General features: G+C 37.0%; 1 protein-coding gene across 14 annotated transcripts in view, besides 1 other annotated feature; it reads left to right on the forward strand.

Moving 5' to 3' along the window:
* Positions 1-12,933, forward strand: part of ABLIM3 (actin binding LIM protein family member 3) — a 119,050-nt gene that overhangs the window by 38,856 nt on the left and 67,261 nt on the right. For all 14 annotated transcript variants that reach the window (NM_014945.5, NM_001301018.3, NM_001345858.2 and 11 more), the window contains one exon: positions 3,104-3,241. In NM_014945.5, the coding sequence (NP_055760.1) occupies positions 3,104-3,241 (138 nt within the window). The remainder of the gene's footprint in view (positions 1-3,103; positions 3,242-12,933) is intronic.
* Positions 6,881-8,080: an enhancer, noted in NCBI's record as "BRD4-independent group 4 enhancer chr5:148566792-148567991 (GRCh37/hg19 assembly coordinates)". NCBI's record gives its function as "activates an origin of replication core promoter dependent on BRD2, P300/CBP, MED14 and CDK7 cofactors, and independent of BRD4, by STARR-seq in HCT116 cells {active_cell/tissue: HCT116}" and the evidence as "EXISTENCE:reporter gene assay evidence [ECO:0000049][PMID:35650434]".

The following is a 12,933-nucleotide window of genomic DNA, read 5'->3' on the forward strand; positions in this document are numbered from 1 at the left end:
ACACCCCCAATACACATGTACACATACACAGAACAATGTTAGATTAAGTTTCTGATTTAATTAGCCAAGAATATAAAATCTTACTGGAAATGAGTTGGCTTCCAGGGCAGGAGCAGGGATGTGGCATATCCCAGCCTAGCTTCCATTGACACCCAGAGTTCCTACGTCCAGTCTGCATGAGGAACAGTCTTGCCACACCTGTGAGCTCAAATCTTGCTACACCACTGTTCTTTTATAATCACAGCTTACATCAGCAATCTGGAAGAACTCACACCAACTGTATGTATTTTTTCATACAGTTGTATGGTGTATGTATGTATTAATACACCAAATGTATGAATTTTTGCTTATGGGACTATTTACAAACATCAGAGCTCTGGCCACACACAGCATCAGCAAAGCAGCATCCTTCTCTTGAGGGGATGCAGCAGGGTTAGGGCTGGGGTCCCATCACTACTGCAGCCCCAGAAAATTTTATTTTCCTAATCCATTCCCCTCACTTTGATTTTACACTTTTTTATCCGGGTGGTTCAAAGACTGAGTTCTGTTGGAAGACCATGCTCACAAATCCACTTTCCCAGAAAATCAAATCCAATTAGAAAAAATAAAATTGATCTTAGAAGTTGGCTCTTGAACAATAAGACAGGTTGAATTAGAGGAGGTAGATGAAAGTTTGTGCAATGATCCTGGAGGGACTGTTGGAGACTTCCAAGAGCACTCAGCGTTAATGATGATGATTGTACTATTCGTTCTTATTTTATTTTCAGACTCACAGCTTTGTTTCCCTTGGCAATGGTAGATCACCACACTGCTCATATAAACAGAATCTATATTTTTCTCACAAATTCAGGGCAGAAGAGAGAGTGAAGTATTTTCCAGGGAACATTGAGTAAGAATCAGAAAAAGAAAAGAGAATAAGATTAAAGAGAATGTTTATGAACATTCTGGGGGGTGGGGAAGGATTGCTCAGAGCTGTAGGGGGGATGTGATGGCCATGATACCAGTGAACATTTGTGGAGCACTTAACGCAGTTTTTGAAATATTTTGCATGTATTGACCTATTTAATGAGTTAATTAATGATTTAGTTAACTAGCTGATTTGTTTGATTTTTGTCTTGAATTTAAGACAGAGAAAAATAGATGAATAATGTGCATAAACTGCATGAAAGAAAGATTGTGAGAAGTATATTATTCTCCCACCCCAGTTAGCAAAGTTGTCAGAAGCCAGTTTCAGTGCTAAGCAATCAGCTCTTTGCTCTATAGCATCCTTGGGATTCAGGATACCTGTAAATGGGAGATGATCAGAAGTCCTGATTTCCTGTTCCTCTTTAAAAGGAGGAGGACAGATGAGATCAGTTTTGGAGATCATAGATCTCTTTGAGAATATGAACAAAACTACAAGATAATGTATGTAACACTTAATTTAATTAAAGAGAAATGTCAGATCCGAGGTTATGCTACAGTCTCAGAGGCTATGACAACAGAGATTTGTTCTTGCTCATGATAGAGGTTTATGATGGGTTAGTTTACAGTTCTGTTCCATGACTCCTCAATCCGGATCCAAGCTGATGCATCCTGCACACCATCTGGGGTAACATTCATTCCTGAGTTAGGGAAAAGGCAATATAGCAGATCACATATTGGCTCCTAAGGCTTCCAATTGGAAGGGACATGCACAATTTCAGTTCACATTTCACTGCCAAGCAAGTCACCATGTGCAATCCTCCATGTGCCTAGAAGAAAAGGTTCAAATTTCCAGTGAACAGACATAACTACCACACAGGGTCAAGAATCCCCAAAGTAGGTGACCTTTAAATTCCTTTGTGGTTCAAGGTTGCTGTGAGTCCAGATTAATTTATGATATACTTATTCAGAGTTTATCCAGGAAGTCTACATATATAAACGATAGGTACCAATTCCCCTTCAATCAGGTGGTTATCTTTATAACCAGGACAAGAGTGAGCCTTCTCCTAATAAGGTATGAGCAGAAGTTTTTGGACTATTCCTTCAACTTTGAGTGAGAATTGAAGAAATGAGTAATTCTCTCCCCAGTGCCACAGGGGTTTTCTATAGGAGAGAAGAGTATGTTTCTCAGTGGCAAAGTTACCTCAACAGCTTATGCATAATGAGATCAGACCAGACAGCTACCAACATTCCTTCCAACCCTGAGATTTTTGTGCTGTAGGCAGGTGCCTAATGAAATATCAGATGACTAGATTTTAGAATAGCCAAGCCAAGTGTATCTCAGGAAAAGGGTATCTAGAAAAGTAGCCATGAAATGGTCTTAGCAGTCTCACTTTGGCAGCACATATACTAAAATTGGAGATGGTCTTAGCAAGAGAATAACAGACCCAATAAGCTAGTAGAACTCTTAAGCATCATCAAATGCTGGCCACTCACCTGCAGCTCCCAGTGACTTCAACCCTTTCATAATCTCCACCAGCATTTTTTTCTTAATTGTATACATGTAACATTTTCCCAGTTTTATGGAAAGTGCTGTTCAAAGGTAGCTTTGAGATAAGTTCCCTTGTTAGCCTCCCTCCAGCCAGAGTGCCTCCCCTTCCCTTCATGCCTTCCTTATAAAAGTCTTTGCTACCTTTGACCACCCTCATTTGATAGACATGAAAATTGAGGCCCAGAGAGGGGCTGTAACTCACTTAATTCAAAAGCCATTTGGAGGCAGGGTCAGCCACCCACTTCTTTGAAACTTCTGAGTCAATTGCAAGTCCCAAATTCCCTTGGACAAGTTTGGGGCCTAATTTTAATTTAAAGCTTACTCAAAAGATGGTATTTTTGATCACTTACTTTGAAATACTCTATGTCCTCTTATTTGTCTTCATTCAGGGATTTGGCTTGTGTTCTTGCAAGGAAAGGTGATGCTCACTCAAAAGTCCTTGCCTGCTTAAGGAGGGCTATGGACATGTCTCATACCACTCAGTGCTGCCTTAGCTTGGCAGTCATCCTGATGATGAATTGAAGATACTTTGCACATCATTTCTTCCCCTTCCACTTTTTCTTCCAGCTACAATTATGATAATGTCTTGCAGCAGACTTTGTAAAGAATCAGGGCCTCTGGATAGTGATCTCTTTGTTTCTTTTACAGTTCCTTATCAGCAGAATCCTTACAATCCACGGGGCAGCTCCAATGTCATCCAGTGCTACCGCTGTGGAGACACCTGCAAAGGGGAAGTGGTCCGCGTGCACAACAACCACTTCCACATCAGATGCTTCACCTGTCAAGGTAGGAGGCTCAGCTCCCCCACTCTCTTCTTAGATTCCTGACCATTCTTGCACCATCAGGTCATGCCTCAGGGGCAGAAAGAACAAACACAGGTGGCTGGAATATCTATAAAGACCTAAAGAGACTTTCCCTGAGCCTCTTCTTATGAGATTCTCCCTTAGAATGAGGGCAGTGTATTGGTACGTGAGGGAGACAAGGATCCTGGTAACCTTGGAGGGGCAGGTGCTGAACCAGAAGGAAAAAGACTAATCTGCAAGTTTAACTTACTCATCTGAAGAGACTCCTGGTTTGTGCCTATAAATCAGTGTGAGAGCAAATGAAAGTGCAAACTATCTTGGATAAAATTCAAGATAGTTTTTTTTGTTTGTTTTTTGTTTTTTGGTTTTTTTTTTTTTGAGATGAGTAGCTATTCTATGACAATGTAGCAATCTTCAAAGGTTAAGTTTAACAAGGGAGAAGAGACATCTTGACCTTGGTAAGGTTTGCAATTTGGGAGCACATAGCTGTTAGGTCATCTCTCATTGTTACAGCTTACACAGGGCTAATTTATATACTCCTAGACTCAACCAAGCTAAGAGTTCCTAAAGAAGACAGATAATTAGCAGCAGGAAAAGGGACTTGGCTGAAAGAGCACAGAGAGCCCTCTGGCCCGGGGCAACACACCCTTCCACAATGTCTCTCCAGCCTCCACATCTTGACCTCCTCATTCAGGCTTCCCTGCTCCACAGAGCAGCCATTCTAATGTTGGATTGCCCTGTGGGTTTAGAAAATGACCCAAAATTTGTAACTTTTTTGTTGATCTTATATTTGTCCTCATAAAGTCTGAGGAATACTTTGTATTCGCTTTTCCCTTTGACTGCTCTTCAGATACTTGTATCCAGGTTTTCCCCATGTCAAACTATATCACAAGTCCTTAAATTGGGTCTCATCTTAAATGATTCCAACAGTGTCATTGTCCTGGAGTCTTCCTCTTTGATCCATTCTAGTGTGTCACTGTCGTTCTTAAAGTATGATACTCAGAACAGATCACAGTTTTCAAGGTCTAGCAAATACAAAGGACTACATTTCTGTTGATGTAACTGATATTGAACTGACTTCCTGAGGAGCCGCTTCACACTACTGGCTTATATTGAATTTAAAGTCGGTTGAAACCCGCGGTTCTTTTTATTTCAGTAACTGCCTCAGTCTCATGCACCTGAGAGTGACTTCCCCTGCCATTGTGAAAATCCTGAACTTCTTTCTTCATGATCTAACTAGACTCTGCACTGAGCAAACAAATTACATATACATATTTCCTAATTTGTTTATAGATGCATATACGGGATACATTTTAACTGGTGTGATTTGAATTTTATATTGAGTATTGGCAAACCCCTTTAGTATAAGTTGAATTGCAAGAATATCTTGGTGAGTGATTATTTTTACACCCTCTGAAATTGAGGCGGGACGAAGGGTAAAGACAAGGAAATTGTTACAAAGTGGTAAAGGATATAATTATGTGATTATATTCTTAAGAGAATGTATCAGTTACCTTTTACTTAAGCAAAAACTTAATAGCTTAAACCAATCGTTTATTTAGTTCATGATTCTCTGGGTTGGCTGGGAAGTGTTTCCCAGTTTCTAGCTCTGCTTATCTCTACTGGCCTCATCATGATGATATGCAGTTGGCGGGTGGGTCTGCTGGCAGTGGTTGGCAAGCTGCTAACCCCAGTGTCTCCACATAGCTTTTCATCCTCCAATGGGCTGGCTTGGGCTTGTTCATATGGTGGTCTCGGAGCTCCAAGTACAATGAGAGAACAAGCTTTAATAGGTAAGACCTTTTCAACCCTCAGCTTAATGTCCTGCTGTTGGCCAAAACAAGCCAAATGGCCAACCCAGATTCAAGGTCACGGAGAAATAAACTTTGCCTTTTGTAGGGAGATCTGCAGCATCAGATTTCAAGGGTGTTAATACAGAACGGAATAATTTGGCCATTTTCACATTTACCACACGGAGTTTGTAGAATCTCTTTCAACAGAGATTTTAAGGGGAAAAAAATAGACCAATATTTTTCTGAATATTTTCAATGTCCGTTTGCTTAAAGGTAAAAGAAATGAGAGGATTTTTATTTCCAACAGCAATCAACATGACAATTAAGTACCCTATTAGATAGCTTTCTCATCTAAAGAATCTAAAAATTGTTATGAATTTCTTTTACGACTCTTTTAACATGCACTACCATGCTGACATGAAAGGAAGGAATCTACGAAGGCTAAAAACGGAAACAGAAACCCTGCTGTGACTCCCAATGCCTTATTTCATCCTGATAGTTTATCTTAAACCTTGGAGACCTTGAGCTTTTACTCTGTTGTCTAAATGGATCATGGAGAACAGGAGGCAAAGCTTAGCATCTAGTCAAAGTGGGAATCCAATAGGAGACCTATGTATAAAGCTGTTTCCCCTGAAAAAAATATTCTCAGCATATGATGGATGAGAAATAAACTGGCTCTGGAGAGGGAGAGAGCAAGGAAACTTGCCTGTTCCAACTTTGGCACTGAGTAGAGGGGAATAAAACAGTGGCTCACTCCTGTAATCCCAGCAGTTTGGGAGGCTGAGGTGGGAGGGTCACGAGGTCAGGAGTTTGAGACCAGCCTGGCCAACATGGTGAAACCCCACCTCTACTAAGAATACAAAAATTAGCTGGGTGTGGTGGCAGGTGCCTGTAGTCCCAGCTACTCAGGAGGCTGAGACAGGAGAATCGCTTGAAGCCGGGAGGTGGAGGTTGCAGTGAGTCAAGATCACGCCACTGCACTCCAGCCTGGTGACAAATTGAGACTTCATCTCAAAGAAAAAAAAAATTATGAAAAATTACTTATGAAAATATCTGTCCATAATCCACCCTTTACATGGATTCATGACTATATTCGTGTTATATATTTGTTATAAATAAAAATTTATAACAATATATAAAATATGTAATAGAGTCAAGCAGAAAATTTAAGTTACAGCGGTCTCCCACTTGGCAAATGGCAAAAGCAAATGATACTCCTCTTTGGAGGAACTCAACTTTATTCCAGGCCTCAAAGACTTTCCACACATAGTGTTATCAGGAAAATGAGTAACTCACAGTCAGTCAAAAACATACAAATTATAATGGAATGAGAGCCAGCAGAAACAATGGCGAGCAGAATCAGAACCTCAACAACTTTGTATATTGAAATTTCCTGTCATTACATAATAACTATATTGATACATTTAAACAAGCTAGAAAATATGAGCAAAAAAAAAACAACAGTGCATTATAAGCAATAGTGCAGAAGATTTGAAAAGGAAACAAATAAAACTTCTAAAAATAGAAATATATAATCTTTGAAATTAATTCAATGTATCAATTAAATAGCAGATTAGATGTTGCTAAAGAAAAAATTAATAAAACAGAAGATTTCATCCAAAAAAAGTTATACAGATAATAGATCAAAAATATGAGAAGGTGGTAAAAATAAAAAAGAAGCTAATATATGGAGAATATAGTGAGAGGTCCTGACATATATATCTAATCAGAGTTCTGGGGATAGATAATAGAGAACATGAGTGGGAGGACAATATTTGAAGAGACAACAGCTATGAATTATCTAGAGCTGTTGAAAGACACATATCCTTGAATCCAGAAAACCTAATAAATTCCTGCAGGAAAATTTAAAAGAAATCCACCTACAATATCAGAGTAAAACCTCAGATCATCAAAGAGCCGATCTTAAAAGTAGCCAGGGAGAAAAGACAAATCATCTGCGTATAAATGGTAAATGGCCAGACAACTGACTTTTCAGTAGCAACAAGCAAACTAGAAAACAGCAGAAGAATATATTTAATGTACTGAAAGAAATAACTGTCAAGGAAAGATTATGTATTCAGCAAAACTATCTTTCTATAACAAAGACAAACCTACAACTAAGATTATACTTAATGGTGAAAGACCGAATGTTTCTGTTAGATATGAGTTCTAAATTTCTTTTCAAAGAATTAATACGTTAGTATGTTCAATTCTTTGCCTTCTACTTTTAAACTTAACTTCCTCGTAAAGCAACATTTTTCAATTACCTACTCCACCCTGACTCATTCCGATTTCCTACCCCACCCTGACTCATTCTGATTACCTACTCCACCCTGACTCATTCTGATCACATGCTCCACCCTAACTCATTCAGATTACCTGCTACCTGCTCTGCCCTGACTCCCGCCAAAGCACTCACCCCGTCATTCTCTTTAAATTAGCCAGTCGGAATTTGTTTAGCCTGTGCGGTCTAACCCTAGCCAATAGGGAAACGACACAGCAGCAGGGGCCACGTGCCTCAGGGATAAGAACCTCTTCCCCTCCCTTGTCCAAGTGCACCCTCACCTTTGCTCCATCTGTAAGGGCGCACCGTTCTATAGTAATAACTTGCCTTGCTGAGAATTAAAAAGAAAATTTTATATTCTAGTGCTATTCCTTTTGCAGCACCGAAATTTTATATATAACATTTCCCTGTAAGATCAAAAACAAGACAAGAATTTCTGCTCTCACCACTTCTATTTGACATTGCATTTCAGGTTTGTGCTAGGTTAATTAAGGAAGAAAATGAAATAAAAGGCATCCAGATTAAAAAGGAAGAAGTACAACTAATCTCTATTTGCACATGACATGATCTTGTATAGCAAATCCCAAGGAATACTAAAAAATTATTAGAACTAATAAGTTTATCAAGGTTTCAAGATATAAGATCAAATACCAAAATCAATTATATTTCTATACCATAGCAATAAACAATCTGAAAATAAAATTGAGAAAACAGTTCCACTGGCAATAGCATCAAAGGAATACATAGGAATGAATTTAACAAAAGAAGTTCAAAATGTGTACTATGAAAACTACAAAATGTTAAACAAGGCCTAAATAAATGGAAAGGTGTCCCTTGCTCATAAAATAAAAGACTTATTTATTATTAAGATGGCAGCACTGGCTTGCAGATGGCCGCCATCTTGCTGCGTCTTCGCATGGCAGAGAGAGAAAGGGAGAGAGGGACAGCCAGCAAACTCTCTAGTGTCTGTTGTTTTAAGAGTACTAATCTCATCATGAGGGCCCCACCCTTATGATCTCATCTAAACCTAATTATCACACAAAGGCCCATCTCTAAACACTAGGATGTTGGAGGTTAGGGCTTCAACATATGAATTGGGGGTGGGGACAGAATTCAGTCCATAGAAAATGCAATCCCTATCAAAATCTCAGCTGGCTTCTTTGCCAAAATTGATGGTCTGATCCTAAAATTCATATGGAATTTCAAGGGACGGACATAGAATAGCCAAGCAATCTTTAAAAAGAACGAAGTTGGAGAACTCACACTTCCCACTTTTAAATATGCTACAAGGCTATAATAAACAAGATAGGGTGGTACTAGCACAAGGATAGGCATAGAAATGAATAAAATCAAAAATATAAACATAAACTTATATTTATGGTTGGTTAATTTTCAACAAGGCTGTTGAGATAATTCAAGAGGGGAAGAATGGTCTTTTCAAAAAAAGGTGTTTGGAAAACTGAATATTCATATGCAAAAAATGAATTCACACTCTTTCTTTACACATACATAAAAATTAACTAAAAATTGATTGAAGACCTAAATGTAGAAGGTAAAATTGAGAAACTCTTAGGAAAAAATATAAGAATAAATCATTGTGATCTTGAGTTGTGCTAAACCTTCTTACATATGACACCAAAAGCTCAAGCAACAAAGAAAAAATATATCAATTAGATATTATCAAAATTTAAAACTTTTGTGCTTCAAAATACACCATCAAGAATGTGAAAAGACAACCCATAGAATAGGAGAAAATATTTGCAAATTATAAATCTGAAAAAATATTTGTGTCTCAGCTATGTAAAGAATTCTTACAATTGCATAATAAGAAGACAAATAACCTAATTTCAAAATGGGCAAAGGATATGAATAGACATTTATACAGAGAAGTTATACAAATGTCCAATAAGCACATGAAAAAATGCTCGACATCATTAGCCATCAAAGAAATGCAAATCAAACCACAATGAGATGCCACTTCACATCTACTAGAATGGCTATAATCAAAAAGATAGATAACTAGTGTTGATGAGCATGTGGAGACATTAGAACTCTCATACATTGCTGGTGGAAAGGAATGTAAAATGGTGCAGCTTCTTGGGAGAATAGTCTGGCAGTTCCTCAAAAGATGAAATTAGAGTTACCGTATGACCCAGCAATTCCAAATTCCACTCCTCAGTATATACTCAAGAGAAATAAAAATATATGTTCACACAGAAATATATACATGAATGTTCATAGCAGCATTATTCGTAATAGCCAAAAAGTAGAAAAACTCAAATCTTCATCAACAAATGAATGGATAAATAAAATGTGATCTATCTCCACAGAGGGATACTATTTAGCAATAAAAAGGAATGAAATACTAATAAATGCTCCAATGGGAATAAACCTTGAAAACACGTAAAAGAAAACAGTCACAAAAGGCTACACATTGCAGGATTTCATATGTATGAAATGCTCAAAACAGGCATATTATATAAAGACAGAAAGCAGATTCATGGTTATCTAGGGCTGGGGGTGGTTGGAGGAAGATAAGGAGTGATTTGTAATGGGTTTGTGGCTTGTTTTGGAGGTGATGAAAACGTTCTGGAATTAGATAGTGGTAATGATTGCACAACTTTGTGAATATGCTAAAAAATGGTTGAATTGTACATTTTAAATTGTTGAGTTATATGACTTGTGAATTGTATCTCATTAAAACTGTTAAAATGAACTGGGTGCAGTGGCACACACCTGTAATCCCAGCACTTTGGGAGGCCGAGGCGGGTGGATCACCTGAGCCCAGGAGTTTGAGAGCAGCCTGGGCAACATAGCGAAGCCTCTTCTCTACAAAAAATACAAAAATTAGCCGGGCATGGTGGTGCATGCCTGTAGTCCCAGCTACTTGGGAGGCTGAGGTGAGAGGATCATTTGAGCCCAGGAGGCGGAGGTTGCAGTGAGTTGTTATCACGCCACTGCACTCCAGGCTGGTGGACAGAGTGAGTCCCTGTCTCAAAACAAAACAAAAACTGTTAAAATAAAAGACCCAAAGCAAAGTAAAAACATGTTTAAATTTTTTAAAACTGAATTTACCAACAACAAACTCTCATTAAATGAAATTATAAAATATGTTCTGTAAGCAGAAGAAAAATGATCCCAGATGGCAGAACTGAGATGAAAGATGGCATGGTTAGCAAAATCTTAATGAAAATCAGAAAACTCTTGAAACCGAAAGATAACAAAAATGCTATGTATCAAAAACTTGCATTACAAAATGTAGTTTAAAGTGGTACTCAGAGGAAAATGTGTAGCCTTAAATTATCATAATAGAAAAGAATTAAGTTCAAAAACCGTGAACTAAGTGTTCAACTCAAAAAGTTTGAAGAGCAGAATGAATCCAAGTAAAATAGAAGGAAGGAAATAATACAATAGACATTAATCAAAGAAAAAACGCACAGTGGACAGGATTAGCAAAAGTTGATTCTTTAAAAATACAAGTAAAATAGACAAAATTCTGGCAAAATTATTCAAGTAATGGGAGAAAATATACAAATCAACAATATTAAGAATTAAAATAGGGACATCGCTGTAGTTGCTATTAAAATTAAAGACATAAAAAGAAATATTATAAACAATTTGAGTAATAAATTTTAAAACTTAGATAACAAAATTTATCAATTCTTGAGTGCAAATTAAAACCTACTCAAGAAGAAATTTTGAAACCTGAGTAGTCCTATAATCATCCAAGATATTGAATTTGTGAATTTGTAGTTAAAACTCTTCTACGAAAGAAACAAAAATCAGCATTGGAATCAAGTTCTACAAAACATTCAAAAACAAATCATCTATGTCTTATAGAAAGTCTTTCAGAGAAGAGAAAAGGGTACACTTCCTAACTCATTTGAGCCAGCACAATACCAAACAAGGAAAAATAATCATATGTCCATATCATTCATGAACATGGATTTTAAAATCTTAGACAAAATATTAGCAAACCAAGTTTAGAAAAGTGTGAAAAATATAGCATAACTGACCAAGTTGAGTTTATTCTAGAAATTTGAAATTGGCTTAATATTAGAAAACTGGTTAATGTATTTTGCTATAAAGATAAGAAAGGATAAAAATATTTGATTATTTTAATAGAGTAGAAAAGGTGCTAGATAAAATTTAACACCCACTTATACCTAGTTATTTTTATTTTTATTTTTTTGAGACGGAGTCTTGCTCTGTCGCCCAGGCTGGAGTGCAGTGGCACGATCTCGGCTCACTGCAAGCTCCACCTCCCAGGTTCATGACATTCTCCTGCCTCAGCCTCCCATATACCTAGTTATTTTTAAAACTAGGAGGAATTGAAGAAAGCTGTCATAATTGATAGATTATGTATACAAAAATTATAAAGGAAACATTTAATAGTAAAATGCTGAAGGCATTCTCTAAGATCAGGAACAAGATAGAGGTGCTCACTGTCATGACTTCTGTTCAACATTTGGCCTGGAGGGTCCTAGACAATCCAGCAAGATATAGAAATAAAAGTTATATGGTTTGAAAAGGAAAAAAAAAACCTATTATTTTTAGATTATATAATTGTCTGCATAGAAAACCCAAAAGAATCTACAATTTAGTAAAATCAATAAGAAAATTAGTCTATAATAAGGAGAAAGGAAAAGAACCCATTGGTCACTTTTAGATAATGCTGGTGAAATCATTATTTTGAAACAAATAATATGGGCAAAGAATCAAAACTTTAACCTATTGTACAAACTGTACAGTACTTAACTGTAAGCAAAGGGTTAATGAAAGTTTCTATCTACAGAAACACTCCACCTACGGGGCGCCTGTAGTCCCAGCTACTCAGGAGGCTGAGGCAGGAGAATGGCATGAACCTGAGAGGCAGAGCTTGCAGTGAGCCAAGATCGGCCACTGCACTCCAGCCTGGGTGACAGAGCGAGACTCCGTCTCAAAAAAAAAAAAGAAAAAAAAAAAAAAGAAAGAAACACTCTGCCTAATAAATGAAGAATTAAATAATTAGAATATTTTAATTTTGCAAAGCTTTAACGAAATAGTGTATCTAGCAATGATCATCAATAGCCATTTCTACTCACCAACACCACCCCCCAAATCATAGAAGTGCAGAACATCAATGTAGTATTATTCCTAAAAAGAAAAAAATAATCAGACCTGAATTTCAAGTCTGTAGATATAACCACCATTTATAGAAAATGTAAAAGAGAGGAGAACAAGTTAATCAACACCATAGGGATACAATCAGCAAAATCCAAACTGCAGAAATGACTCAGTCTCTTTAATAAATACATTGCAAGGAGAAAATAAGAAGGAAAAATAACTAGCAATTAAGGGACTTAAGAGGTACATCAGACAAATGCAATGTATGAACCTTGATAGATTTTTATTCAAACAACTGGTCACTAAAACAAAAAAAGAAAAGAAAAAAAGGATGGGATAATTGGAAAACTTGAACACACTGACTTGATAATGCCTTAATAGACATTATTTTCAGTGCTTTTAGATTATTGTGGTTGGCTTTTTTAAAGAGTCCTAATATTTTAGAGATACATTCTGAAATAATAATACTAAAAAGAAAGTCAATAAGAATTT

The sequence above is a fragment of the Homo sapiens genome, chromosome 5 (assembly GCF_000001405.40).
Source record: "Homo sapiens chromosome 5, GRCh38.p14 Primary Assembly".
NCBI lineage: Eukaryota > Metazoa > Chordata > Mammalia > Primates > Hominidae > Homo > Homo sapiens.